At 33.5% G+C, this 12674-nt stretch overlaps 1 protein-coding gene across 6 annotated transcripts in view; it reads right to left on the reverse strand.

Annotated features, from left to right (window-relative positions):
• FRA10AC1 (FRA10A associated CGG repeat 1) overlaps positions 1-12674 on the reverse strand; it is a 35077-nt gene that overhangs the window by 16823 nt on the left and 5580 nt on the right. For 5 of the 6 annotated variants that reach the window (NM_001347714.2, NM_145246.5, NM_001347715.2 and 2 more), the window contains 5 exons: positions 10156-10232; positions 7941-8024; positions 7304-7388; positions 2699-2744; positions 541-654 (listed from right to left, as the gene is read on the reverse strand). In NM_001347714.2, the coding sequence (NP_001334643.1) occupies positions 541-654; positions 2699-2744; positions 7304-7388; positions 7941-8024; positions 10156-10232 (406 nt within the window). The remainder of the gene's footprint in view (positions 1-540; positions 655-2698; positions 2745-7303; positions 7389-7940; positions 8025-10155; positions 10233-12674) is intronic. The other variant, NR_144635.2, reaches the window with a different exon arrangement.

Raw genomic sequence — 12674 nt, forward strand, 5'->3', positions numbered from 1 at the left:
AAGACTAACTTAAAAAATAAATAAAAGAATGACAGACTCTAAAACATGCATCCTAAGGGAAACTGCTGTATTCTGGAGTATTTATTCCCTATGGTTTTAAGACTGAGGTCAAGAACAATTATGCCTTCCTAAAGTTTTTCTTTATTAATACTGTGAAACAGAGTGAATTTGTTTATTATCTGTGCTACAACGATATCACTGAGTAATCAGCTAATGTGAGATTACACTGCCTTTTCTGATACTGTGCCTCTTAGCTATGTAATGTGGTGGCATTCTCAAGTTAATGGGGACGGAGCCCCACTCTACAAATTACCAGTTTACATTTGACATTAGAATTCTTTTTACTGAAACACCACTGTAATGCTAAAAATGTAAAAAACTGAGGCTGAAAAGTTCTTTGAGACTTTGGGAAGCTCCAAGAAAAAAGAGCACTTCCAGAAAGATATGTTAAAAATTGCATTTGAATTTTAAAGTCTATATATTTTTAAATTAAAGACAAACTTGGAAGAATCAATCATATACCCCCTAAAATCAACTTACTTAATTTAACAAGTGCATTTCTCTTCTCACCATGCTCAATATAACCAAAATTAACTTCCCAACTCTTTAAGCCTTCTTTTTTATCACAATATTTATTTCCACAGAAAAATTGACCTGCAGAAAGGAAAGGAATATTAGCTATGGTAGTTGGTGATAATATTTATCTATATGATCTAGTATTACCCCTAAAATGTACTTCTAAAATATGCAAATTAACCATAGTCAGCCTTTAAAAACTGACCAGAGTAATATGTTCAACCAACTTGTATACAAGTATCAAATCAAAGTACTGTTACCAAAAAAAATCAGTCACAGAATTCTTGCTTGATAGACTGTATTTAGATAGACATTTTAGCGACTCCCTATTAGGGAATCTTACACTTTGGAAAGACAGTATTAAAGAATGGACATATTTCTCAGAAAGTTGGTTTAAGGAAAAACAAATAAAAAAACAAAAACAAAAAAAACAACATACTCACAAATACCCCCCCCAAAAAAAAACGCACTTTCCAAAGTACACACACTTATAGCTGGGTGAAACCTTTCAATATTTAATGGTAATAATAGTTAATAGTTTTAAGTATTAGCATAATGACATTTATTTTAAATACTAGCATAGATGGCCTTGAAAACACATTTAAAAATTCTAGCACTTTGAGGTGAAGTACAATACGCAGTCAAACCTGATACTCTAAATTTTAGAATAACTTGACACTATTATTAACATCACACACATTACCATGTCCACAATATATTAAAACCTCCAAAAAAAGACTAACTGATAACCTGAGAGAAAAAAAGAGAAACAACTCAACAGTAATTTACTTTGGCAAAAAGACAAGATCAAACTCTTATTAATTTATATCACAATAATTTGCACTAACAGAAGCAAATCTGTAACCAGCAAATCTTTTTCATAAAAATTAAGAAATTATCAAAATGAATTTAGAAAATTATATCCTAAAAAGACTTATTTCTAAATCAGCCTTTTAAACTCATTCCAAATGAATATTTTATTAAATCTATATGTTTAGTAGGTAAGGCTTTGTTGTTAAAACAGCAACAAAATTATAACTTTATAAAAGAAATCACATAAATCACATTAGCAGCTTTCTTTCCCTTTCCTAACTAGTCTTTTATTCAGTTATATGAATTTAGAGACTACCCATCAATTTTTTTAAAAGGTAGCATTATAAACTCACCTGAAAATCTCATTCAATAAAAGTACATCTTAAAATTGTGATAGACATTTCAGGATTTCTCATTATTTTAGATAAAAACATAAACTAAAATATAACCCTAAGAAAAGTTAAAATAGCTTTAAATTTATTCTTTTTCCTTAATGTTGTTTTATGGCATATGCAATTTCACACCTAACATAGCCAACTTATGGAAGATATATATGAGCCACGATAGCATAAATATTTAATCATTTAAAAATGTAATCTTTCCATTTAAAAGGTTTTTTAAAGTAAGTTTAAAATTATTTCCTTAGTGCTACTATATAGTTTTCAGTACTTTAACACTTAAAATGCAATTACTCAGTAAGGAGCTAATTTTATAGCAAGAGACAGTATGGAGATACACAATTTCCAGGAAAAATTTAATGAATAGATTTACAATAATGCATAGAAAAAGCATTTACTGATTGCCTACCAAATGTCTGGTCTTTTGCTATTAGACTAAGTATTTGGGCTCAATATAAGGGACTTCCAAAAATGAGTACTAGCCTGCCCCAAAATTCTATTGGGATTAAAGTGATATTTAACTTCTACTTTTGAAATGTGGATTTGGCTGAAAAACAGTAACACCAATTCATTATTCCAAAAATTAATAAAGAAAGGAAAAAAATAAACCTTTCTTTTTTGTTGAAAGTTGTCTTGCTATGAAATCTTTAATTTGTAAAATATTTTCTACATACTTAGAAATATGCAGAACATTCAACTGAATGTTCTAAAGGCAAAAGTATAAAGGTAATAATCATTAAAGCATTATATTCAGACCTTTGCTAATAATGTATCATGAATACACCTTCTCTAATTTTACTTTTGTAGCTAATAATTTCTTGTATATGTTAGGAATGATCTTAATGACTCCAATTCAGTAACTTAACAAAATAAGTTTATCCTATTAAAAAGTAAAAATTTTAAAGAATTACCTTTTCCTGAAATTACTTCTTTTTCTACTCGCCACCTAAATCCAAACTGATAATAAAAAAATTACATTTATGCCAATGTAAATTTAAATTATACAGAAATCTAAACATGGAGCCAACAATGACATTCACCAACCTAAAAAATAAATGTAATTCCCATCATGACAGATTTTTCTCTTCTTATAGGATTTGAAGAAAATACATTGAACAATCACCAATTTATCTGTTAAGAACAATCTACTTTAAGATAGCTTAAAAGTTATAGGTGCCAGGCCACAAGATACCTAAGTTAACAAATAATATATCCTGTTCTGTAAGACTGACAAGAAAAAAAGAGGTTATGGTATAGTAAAGAGGTAGTATATTCTAGTACAAAAAAGTACAGCCTTTGGAGTCAGATTATTTACATTTGCATTTTAGCTCTACCACTTAACAGTTGTATAGTACTGGGCAAATTAATCTCTTTTTTGCCTCAGCTTCCTCATATATGTAAAGTAGAAATATGAGTACCTACTTCCTTGGTACTCACAGAGGTTTAAAGAGGTTTAAATGAGATAATACATATGAAACACTTAGAATAGTAACTAGTATACTCCAACAATCATGCTTCTTGGTATTTACTCAAATGAGCTGAAAACTAATGTCCACATGAAAACCTAAATATAGATGTTTACAGCAACTTTATTTCTAATTGCTGAAACTTGGAAGCAACCAAGATGTTCTTCATTAAGTGAATGGATAAACAACTGTGGTACATCCAGACAATTAATATTATTCAGTGGTAAGAAGAAATATCAAACCATGAAGACATGGAGAAACTTAAGTACATATTACAAAGTGAAAAAACCCAATCTGAAAAGACTACATATATATGATTTCAACTGTATGATATTCCAGAAAAGGCAAAACTATGGAGGAAGTAGCAAGATCAGTAGTTGCCAGGGATTAGGAAGGAGGGTGGGATGAACAGGTGGAGCACAGAGGATTTTTAGGGCAGTGCAAGTATTCTCTATGGTACTATAATGGTAGACACACGTCATTACACATTTGTCAAAGCAGTTGAATGTACAATACCAAGAGTGAACCCTAATGTAAGCTATGGACTTCAAATAATGATGTATCAACGTAGGTTCACTGATTGTAACAAATGTACCCCTCTGGTGTGGGATGCTGACAGTAGGGGATGTTATGCATGTATGAGAGCAGGGGGTATATGGGAATTCTGTGCTTTCTGCTCAATTTTGTTGTAAACCTAAAAATGCTCTAAAAATTAAAAGCAAACAAAAAATACACTTGGGAAGATTACTTGAACCTGGGAGGTGGAGGCTGCAGTGAGCCATGATCATGCCACTGCATTCCATCCACCCTGGGCAACTGAACAAGAGCCTGTCTCAAAACAAACAAACAAAAACTACAACAACAAAAAATAACAACAAATAAAAAACCACTCCAGTCTAGAAACATGCATACCTGTACCCAACTCAAGAAGCTCTTGTCACTCATTAGGTCTTAACCTTGGGAAAGTTACTTAACTTCTCTACTTCCTCTTCATGTATAAAAATGGAAATAGTAACAACCTTAAGTTCACCGGATTGTTATAGTAAGACAGAGGATTCATATAAAGTGTTCAATGCCTTGCTAACTTCAGTTTGTTGTGGGGTTTTTTTTTTTTTTTTTTCAGCCTTCCGAATAGCTAGGACTTCAGGCATGTGCTACCCTGCCTGGCTAATTTTATTTTTTATAGAGACAAGGTCTCACTATATTGCCTAGGCTGGTTTTGAACTCCTGGCCTCAAGCTATCCTCCCACCTCAGCCTCCCAAAGTACTGGGATTACAGGCAAGAGCCACCGTGCCTGGCAATTTCAATTATTTTTTTTAAAAAATCATTAATCTATTACTTGAATTTGGCAATTTTGTATTTTAAATGCAAATAAAGGCTCAAAATATTTCAAAATACTCTGATTAAAACCCAACAAAAATAAAATCCTCCAAATCTAGGGGAAAAAATAAAATTTCAGGATAACTCTGTTTAATTCTATTTTTCAGCCTATATATGTATGTGGAGATTGCTTGCCATCCAACATATGTTAGGATGTCTACTGAAGCACAGCCAAGTGTAACAGCAATAGTTTCCAAACTTTCTTCTTCATTCATTAATCTATTCAACAGACAACTTATTAAGCAACTACCTATTGGGCTTGGCATTCCACTGAGGATAAAAAGTGATTATTAAAATAGTGTGTCACCAAGATTATAATCTTATGAGGAAATAATAAATGTAACAAAACAAATTACATTATATCCTACTAGTTAAAGACTGTATATTATTTCCTGACATAAATGTCCTAGTTTGGATTAAAGCTGAAGTTATTCAGGATTTGGTGCTGAGCCTCCTTTTCTTCTCACTCTGCACTCATCACAATGAGGTCACGTACGCAAGCAGTAAACAAGAAGGATTCTGACTTTATGACCATCGACTTGAACTTTTATGTATAAGAAAAATAAACTTTCCAGCTCATTTAAGCCAGTGGTTTTTTTCGGGGAGTCTTCTCTGTCCTTGCAGCTGGACCTAATCCTAACTGATACATTGATCCAACTAAAAAGGGGAAATGCAATAAAGAAAGGAATAGGAGTAAGAGGCAAAGGTGGAAATTCACTAAAAATGCTCTAAAAGTATCTACTATATATATTAGGAGCTGGTTTTAATTAACTGAATAATACATTGTCTTTGTATAAATAAAGAGAAGAGAAAATGCATCCTAGTGAGGGAACCAAAGGCATTACTCTTTCTCCAACACCTCAAACATGGTATGCCAAAACCAAACTCATTATCTTCCCCCCACAAAAAAAATCCTCCTCCAAATTCTGTATTTTTCTCAGCATCCATGGTCAGAATCTGCGAGTCATATCGGATTTCTTGCTGCATTTACTCTCATGTACAATCACTCATCATGTTCTAGCAGGAAAATACACATTTTTTCAAGATTATTTTCTTTAAAGTACGATTTCTAGTGGTATCCATTTTTGAAAAATTGAGAACTCAAATATTTAATTTTTATTTATGTATATTTTCTCCCCTCAACTAGACTAGCTTTTTCTGAAAAGTAGTCACCATGTATTAACCCACAGTACCTAGTCCAGTTTCAATAGATACTGACAACAACAACAAAATACTGAAGAATTATGATGGTATTAGGAGGTGGGGAAAAATAAATGAAAAAAAGAAAAAAAACAACAACTTAAGAACAATCCATGAATAAGCCAGGGCTGAAAAATCTCCTTTGTTACATGCTCCTAGAAAGACATAATTTTCACACTTGATTTACAATACAGTAACTTTAAGTAACTCCAATTACTGTGGTGCTTTTTGAACCAGATGTGGTACAGAGAAGACAGCTGTGAACCAGAGTCCATAACTAGTTCATAAGAAACAGCAGTTCTGGGGATAAATTAAGTGCACGGGTTTATAAATAGGGTATACAAAATGAACATTATTACTATTTTCTATAAGAAACTGTGAAGCAACACACATATTAAAGGCACTACTGAAAAAATTATTAAATCAACCCTGGTTCTAATGAGATCAAATGATTTAAATGACAAATAAATCTTCATGATAGATAAATACAAGATAGCTTTTTAAATAGGTTTTTTTCTTAATACAAATATACAGTATCTATAACACATATTTATGCAACATTCCCTCCTCTCACATTTCTAACTGAGATCTGCTCCTGGGTCACCTTTTCCAGCTATAATTTGATGTTTGAGATAGAAATAAAAGTAACTTTCTATTTTTTAGAGTCTCACTGTCACCCACACTGAAATGCAGTGGCACGATCATAGCTCACTGCAGCCTCAAACTCCTGGACTCAAGCAACCTTCTAACCTCAGCCTCCCAAGTAGCTAGAACTATAGGCATGCACCACTGCACCTGGCTAATTTTTTTTAGTTTTTGTGGAGACAAAGTCTCACTATATTGCCCAGGCTGGTCTTGAACTCCTGGCCTCAAGCAATCTTCCTGCCTCAGCCTCCCAAAGTGCTGAGATTACAGGCATGAGCCATCACGCCCAACCAAAAATAAAAATATTAACTAAAGTAAGATGTAAAGTGGGAAAGGAAATCTGTCATTACTAATTAGCACTGATTGAAATGTTAATTTTACTAGAATAGACATTTATGTAATAGAAGATGTGCATCTGGATCTCTATAAATGGTAATCAATTTTTAAAATCTATCAGTTTCAAACATCATCTGTGAAATAAGACATTATTCTGTAGAGTTAAGTCATTCATTACAATCACTAGAGGCTCTAGACTAGAGTCAGGATGAAACAGGATCCAATACCCACTTGCGTTTAATTTTAGACTTTTCATGCCTCAGCTCACAAACAAAAAAAAGCATCCTTGTCCTTCATAAATTTCCATAGGCCTTTTGTAAACTCCACAGCTGCAGAGGTTAAATGGTCCAAATGACACATCATAAACGCAGGACAACTGAGTCTAGAATTAGCATCTTTAAAAGAATAATGTGGGGCATGACAGTATAATAAAAGTTAATATTTTACTTGAATAAGAACCTCTTTCCATAAATATGTGGAAAGCATACCTTATTTTCTTTATATTTACTGAGATCTGCTATGCAGTATTCCTTAAATAATTTATCATAGTATTTCTTAGCAAGTCTCTTCTCCCTAGACCCATGAAAATATAAATATTATACATTTAGAAACTCAACCATGGTTTGCTACTTTCAAGTGATGTCAAAGAATACATACTACATAAATATTAATGTTTTAAGAGAACTATTACTTACATGTGCATGGAATATCTGGATATTAACTATTAAAAGTGGTTCACTCAGGGAGGGAAATTGGAGAACTGACAGTCACAAATAAGAAGGAGAATCACTCTTCACTGTTTACCCTTTGTAATGTTTGGATTTAAAAAAACATTTTCAGGTATGACTTTTTTCTAAAACAGCAGCATATAATAACATATTACAAGATAACACACAATACTGTAAAAAAGAATGTTATTTTTTTGAAGACTAAGTCAAACAATGAGAAGTCAGTTAAAACTGCCAAAAATTACCAAAAGAACCAAATAATCCTAGGCTTGATTTTATGTCCTTGATTCAGAACTGTTCTATGAAGGGGCTGAACACCTTGACTAAAAAACCACTCAGAAAACAGGAGAAACAGGACTAAAGCATTTGATGCATTACGCCTCTGATGGCTAATTACCAAGTCATGTCCATTTCGTCCTCCTCATTCCATAGGAATCTATGATTTTCTCGTATAACATCCAAGTCTGTCTTGTCATTTTCCCTGGAAAACAGAACTTTTTCAATTTAATACAAAAACAAAAGTAGTCAAATTTAGGTTAAATAGCTCTGTGAGTTTTGGAAAATTTTATTAAAAATATAATACATGAAGATAGTTTTTTGGTGAGTATAAATTTGTTCACATATTTATAAAAATATTTCAGTATTTTCAAAAGGCACTTATAAAAATACTACTACAGAAGCAAGTTAAATGGATAAGGAATCTGTCTGTAGCATTGGTTTCAATTATACAAATGGTGCTAAGTTACCAAAGCTAGAATGAGAAACCTGACTAAACACTAAATGAATAAAGTGAATGAAAATAAGTTTCATTCTAACCAACCACTCTGCTGAGATTTAATTTTAAAAAATATGAAAAGTTTTCCGTATCTCATTTTACTAGTTTCCTAGGTAGAAGACTGAGTAAAGGAGGAAGAAAGCCAAAGGGATTGACCTTTCAAAATAAAATGCTAACAGTCTGGGGGTAAAAAAAAAAAGGAAAAAAAAAAGTGATTGTTGGGAGATATAGGATAAATTGATAGGTGAGATAAATTGGGGGTAAATGAGGTGGTACTAAATTTTCTCAGAGTCCTACCAACTCAGAAAATTGTTAGAGGGAAAAAAAAAACCTCACATAAAACTAAGAAGTTCTAAGACACACACACACTATAGCAGCACAATTCGCAATTGCAAAGCTATGGAACTGACCAAAGTGCCCATCAACCAATGAGTGGATAAAGAAAATGTGGTGTGTGTGTATATATATATATATATATATATATACACCATATATATATATATACACCATATATATATATATATACACACATACATACACCATATATATATACACACCATATATATATACACACCATATATATACACACCATATATATATACACACCATATATATACACACCATATATATATACCATATATATATACACCATATATATATATATATACCATATATATATACACACACCATTTATATATACCATGGAATACTACTCAGCCATAGAAAGGAATGAAATGATGTCTTTTTGCAGCAACTTGGATGGAGCTGGAGGCCATTATTCTAAGTGAAGTAACTCAGGAATGGAAAATCAAATATCATATGTTCTCATTTATATGTGGGAGCTAAGCTATGAGGATGCAAAGGCAAAAGACTGATATAATGGACTTTAGGGACTCAATGTGGGGGAAGGCCAGAAGGGAGGTGAGGGATAAAAGACTACATTTTAGGTATAGCATACAGTGCTTGGGTGATGGGTGCACTAAAATCTCAGAAATCACCACTAAAGAACTTATCCAGGCAACCAAAAACCACCTGTACCTCAAAAACTATTGAAATAAAAATAAAAATTTAAAAAAACAAAAACAAAACAAAACAAAAAACAAGTTCTGATAGAAGAGCCTTAAACATGGGAAGGACTTTGATGTGCAAGAAATGCTAGACTGAGAGTTCTTGTTTACCTATCTTTTAAAAAGCAATCCCAAACATCAAGGTATAAAAATTTCCTTATTTCAAAGATCTTTGCCAAGAAGACACATGAGTATTCTTCAGATATTCTTTTATCACCAGGGTTGTGCCCGGCTCAGCAGGTAAAGAGTCTACCTGAGGCCTGTCCAAAAAAATGGGATTCATGAAGAGCTACTCAGGAGCTGTGGATGGTATCTCTACCTTATAATATAAAAAAGAAACTGGGGCCAGGTGCAGTGGCTCACGCCTGTAATCCCAGCAGTTTGGGAGGCCAAGACAGGTGGATCACAAGGTCACGAGTTCAAGACCAGCCTGGCCAAGATGGTGAAACCCCGTCTCTACTAAAAATACAAAAATTAGCCAGGCATGGTGGCAGGAGCCTGTAATCCCAGCTACTCGGGAGCCTGAGGTAGGAGAATCGCTTGAACCACAGCGGCACAGGTTGCAGTGAGCCGAGATCAAGCCACTGTTCTCCAGCCTGGGCGACAGAGTGAGACTCCATCTTAAAAAAAAAAAAAAAAAAAAAAAAAAAAAAAGGCACACCGGAATAGAAAGCAGGGAAGAATGACAGAATCAGAAGGCACAGTAGCTGTGGGTCTTTAAAGTTTCCCATAACCCACATTCCCTTCTATGTAAACTTCCTGATACTTACCCCAAACGCTTGAAGTCTTCTTTTTTGCCACCATAGTATAAAATATAGTCATTTACGAACTTTGTATGTCTTTGATACTGAAATGCAAAAAATTAAGGATTTTATTCTCTTAGGAGCTGTTTGGTGTCATAATATATTGCTGATTGGTGGTAAAAAAAAGCACAATATGAGTCTATTTAGCTTTTTAAAAATATTCACACACTATACATGCTTACACATTCAGAAAATCTAGAAGGGTATATATTAAATTGTTGAAAGTGAAGATTGTAAAGTACAGGCTTTCTTTTGACTATTTTTCAAGCATATACTACTCTTGTGATAAAAATATACCTCCATCTGGGGAGAAATAGAGCTTCTTATTCTATTGCTGAACTGCATATAGCCTCCTACCACCACTCATTCTAATAATCACAATATGAAAAATTTAAAAATTATAGTTTCTAAAAGTAGAGAATTTATCTTTCATTATCATAAAATATAATTTATCTATTTTAGTAATGATAAAGCCTCTAAATAGAAGATGCAACTTTTATAATTATATTTATAATTTATAATTAAATCCCAACATTAAACTTTCAAAAAAGCAAATATAAAAAATCAATTTTTATAGTCTTTTAAATTCAAAGAATAAAATGCCATGTTTTTTCAAAGCATTGTAACAAAATATATGAGCATTTTACTTTTTGTTTTAAAAAGCTCAACAGCACTCTCTCTAGAGCCAAACATGCACATAATAGCTAACCTCACCTTCTACAATATTCTCTGTGACTATTAAACATGTATAGTGATTTAACTGATCATAATGTGTACTAACAGACAATTTAATCAGATTATGGTATTTCCATATTGTAACAAACCAGTTAATATTTCAGGAAAAAAAAAAAAGAGAGAGACAGAAAAACCAAATACCTGGAGATCTGGATTCTAGCTCTTGATCTACCACTAACTGGTCACATGACCATGGCAAGTCATGTAACCTATTAGAGCTGGGGTCAGCAAACATTTTCTGCAAACGGCCAGATGGTAAATATTTCAGGCTTTGCAAGCCATATGGTCTCTGTTGCAAATGCTCAGTTCTGCCATTTTAGCATGAAAGCAGCCAAAGACAACATATAAATGAAGCATGGCTGTATTCCAATATAATTTTATGTACAAGAACAGGTGGTGGGTGTAACTTTTGCTTCCGGGAAGATGGAGTAGGCAAAGATGTACTTCTCCCTATTCCTCATACTAATAACAACTAAAATCCTTATACATTATATATCAAACATAAAAAGACTCTAAAAGGTGGAAGGAAGAAGGCGCCCCGCTAGGGACCTCCTGAAGACCTATGGTATGACATGATAGCGAGTTCCCTAGGTTTTCTTTTTGTCTCATGTATCCTAGAATTGGAGGTAAAGAAGGTGACAACCCGGAAACACCAACAGGCACGGACTAAAAAATCGTCAACAAAAGCTGTTCTCTCTAACCAAATGACCAAGAGTCAGCCTAGCAAGACAACTTTGAGACAATAACTACTCTACTCTTGTCAAACAACCCAGAGAAAACTGTGGTTCCCAGTCAGAATCGCAATTATTAAAAAGTCAGGAAACAACAGATGCTAGCAAGGCTGTGGAGAAATACGAACACTTTTACACTGTTGGTGGGAATGTAAAATGGTTCAACCATTATTGAAGACAATGTGGCAATTCCTCAAGGACCTAGAACCAGAAATAACATCTGATCCAGCAATCCCATTACTGGGTATATACCAAAAGGAATATAAATCATTCTATTATAAAGATACATGCACATGTATGTTTATTGCAGCACTATTCACAATAGCAAAGACATGGAACCAATCCAAATGTCCATCAATGATAGACCAGATAAAGAAAATGTGGTACATATACACCATGGAATACTATGCAACCACAAAAAGGAATGAGATCATGTCCTTTGCAGGGACATGGATGAAGCTGGAAGCCACCATCCTCAGCAAACTAACACAGGAACAGAAAACCAAACACCACATGTTGTCACCCATAAATGGGAGCTGAACAATGAGAACACATGGACACAGGGAGGGGAACATCACACACTGGAGCCGGTGGGCGGGGAAGGGTGAGGGTGATGGGTTGATAGGTGCAGCAAACCACCATGGTACATGTATACCCTATGTAACAATCCTGCACGTTCTGCACATGTATCCCAGAATTTAAAGTAATAAAATAAAATAAAGAAAAATAAAATAAAATAAATCCTCACACACAAAACAAAAAACAAACAAACAAAAAAAACTGTGGCTCCAACTCCTCCTATGCCAGAAAAAAGAGTACCCATACTTTCACTCTCACCAGGCTATAACTAGGTGCCCCCAATGCAGTAGGTGTCAGAGAAGGCAGAGCAAATGTTTAAATGCTAAAGGAACAAATGGCAGATGAGATCCATGGAAAAGCTAGCTATTGGGTTAGGAGATAAGAAGAATAAATCAATTAGTGACACAATGGTACTTCTATAACTTAAAAGAAAAATATTGG

The sequence above is a fragment of the Homo sapiens genome, chromosome 10, assembly GCF_000001405.40.
Source record: "Homo sapiens chromosome 10, GRCh38.p14 Primary Assembly".
NCBI classification, from domain to species: domain Eukaryota; kingdom Metazoa; phylum Chordata; class Mammalia; order Primates; family Hominidae; genus Homo; species Homo sapiens.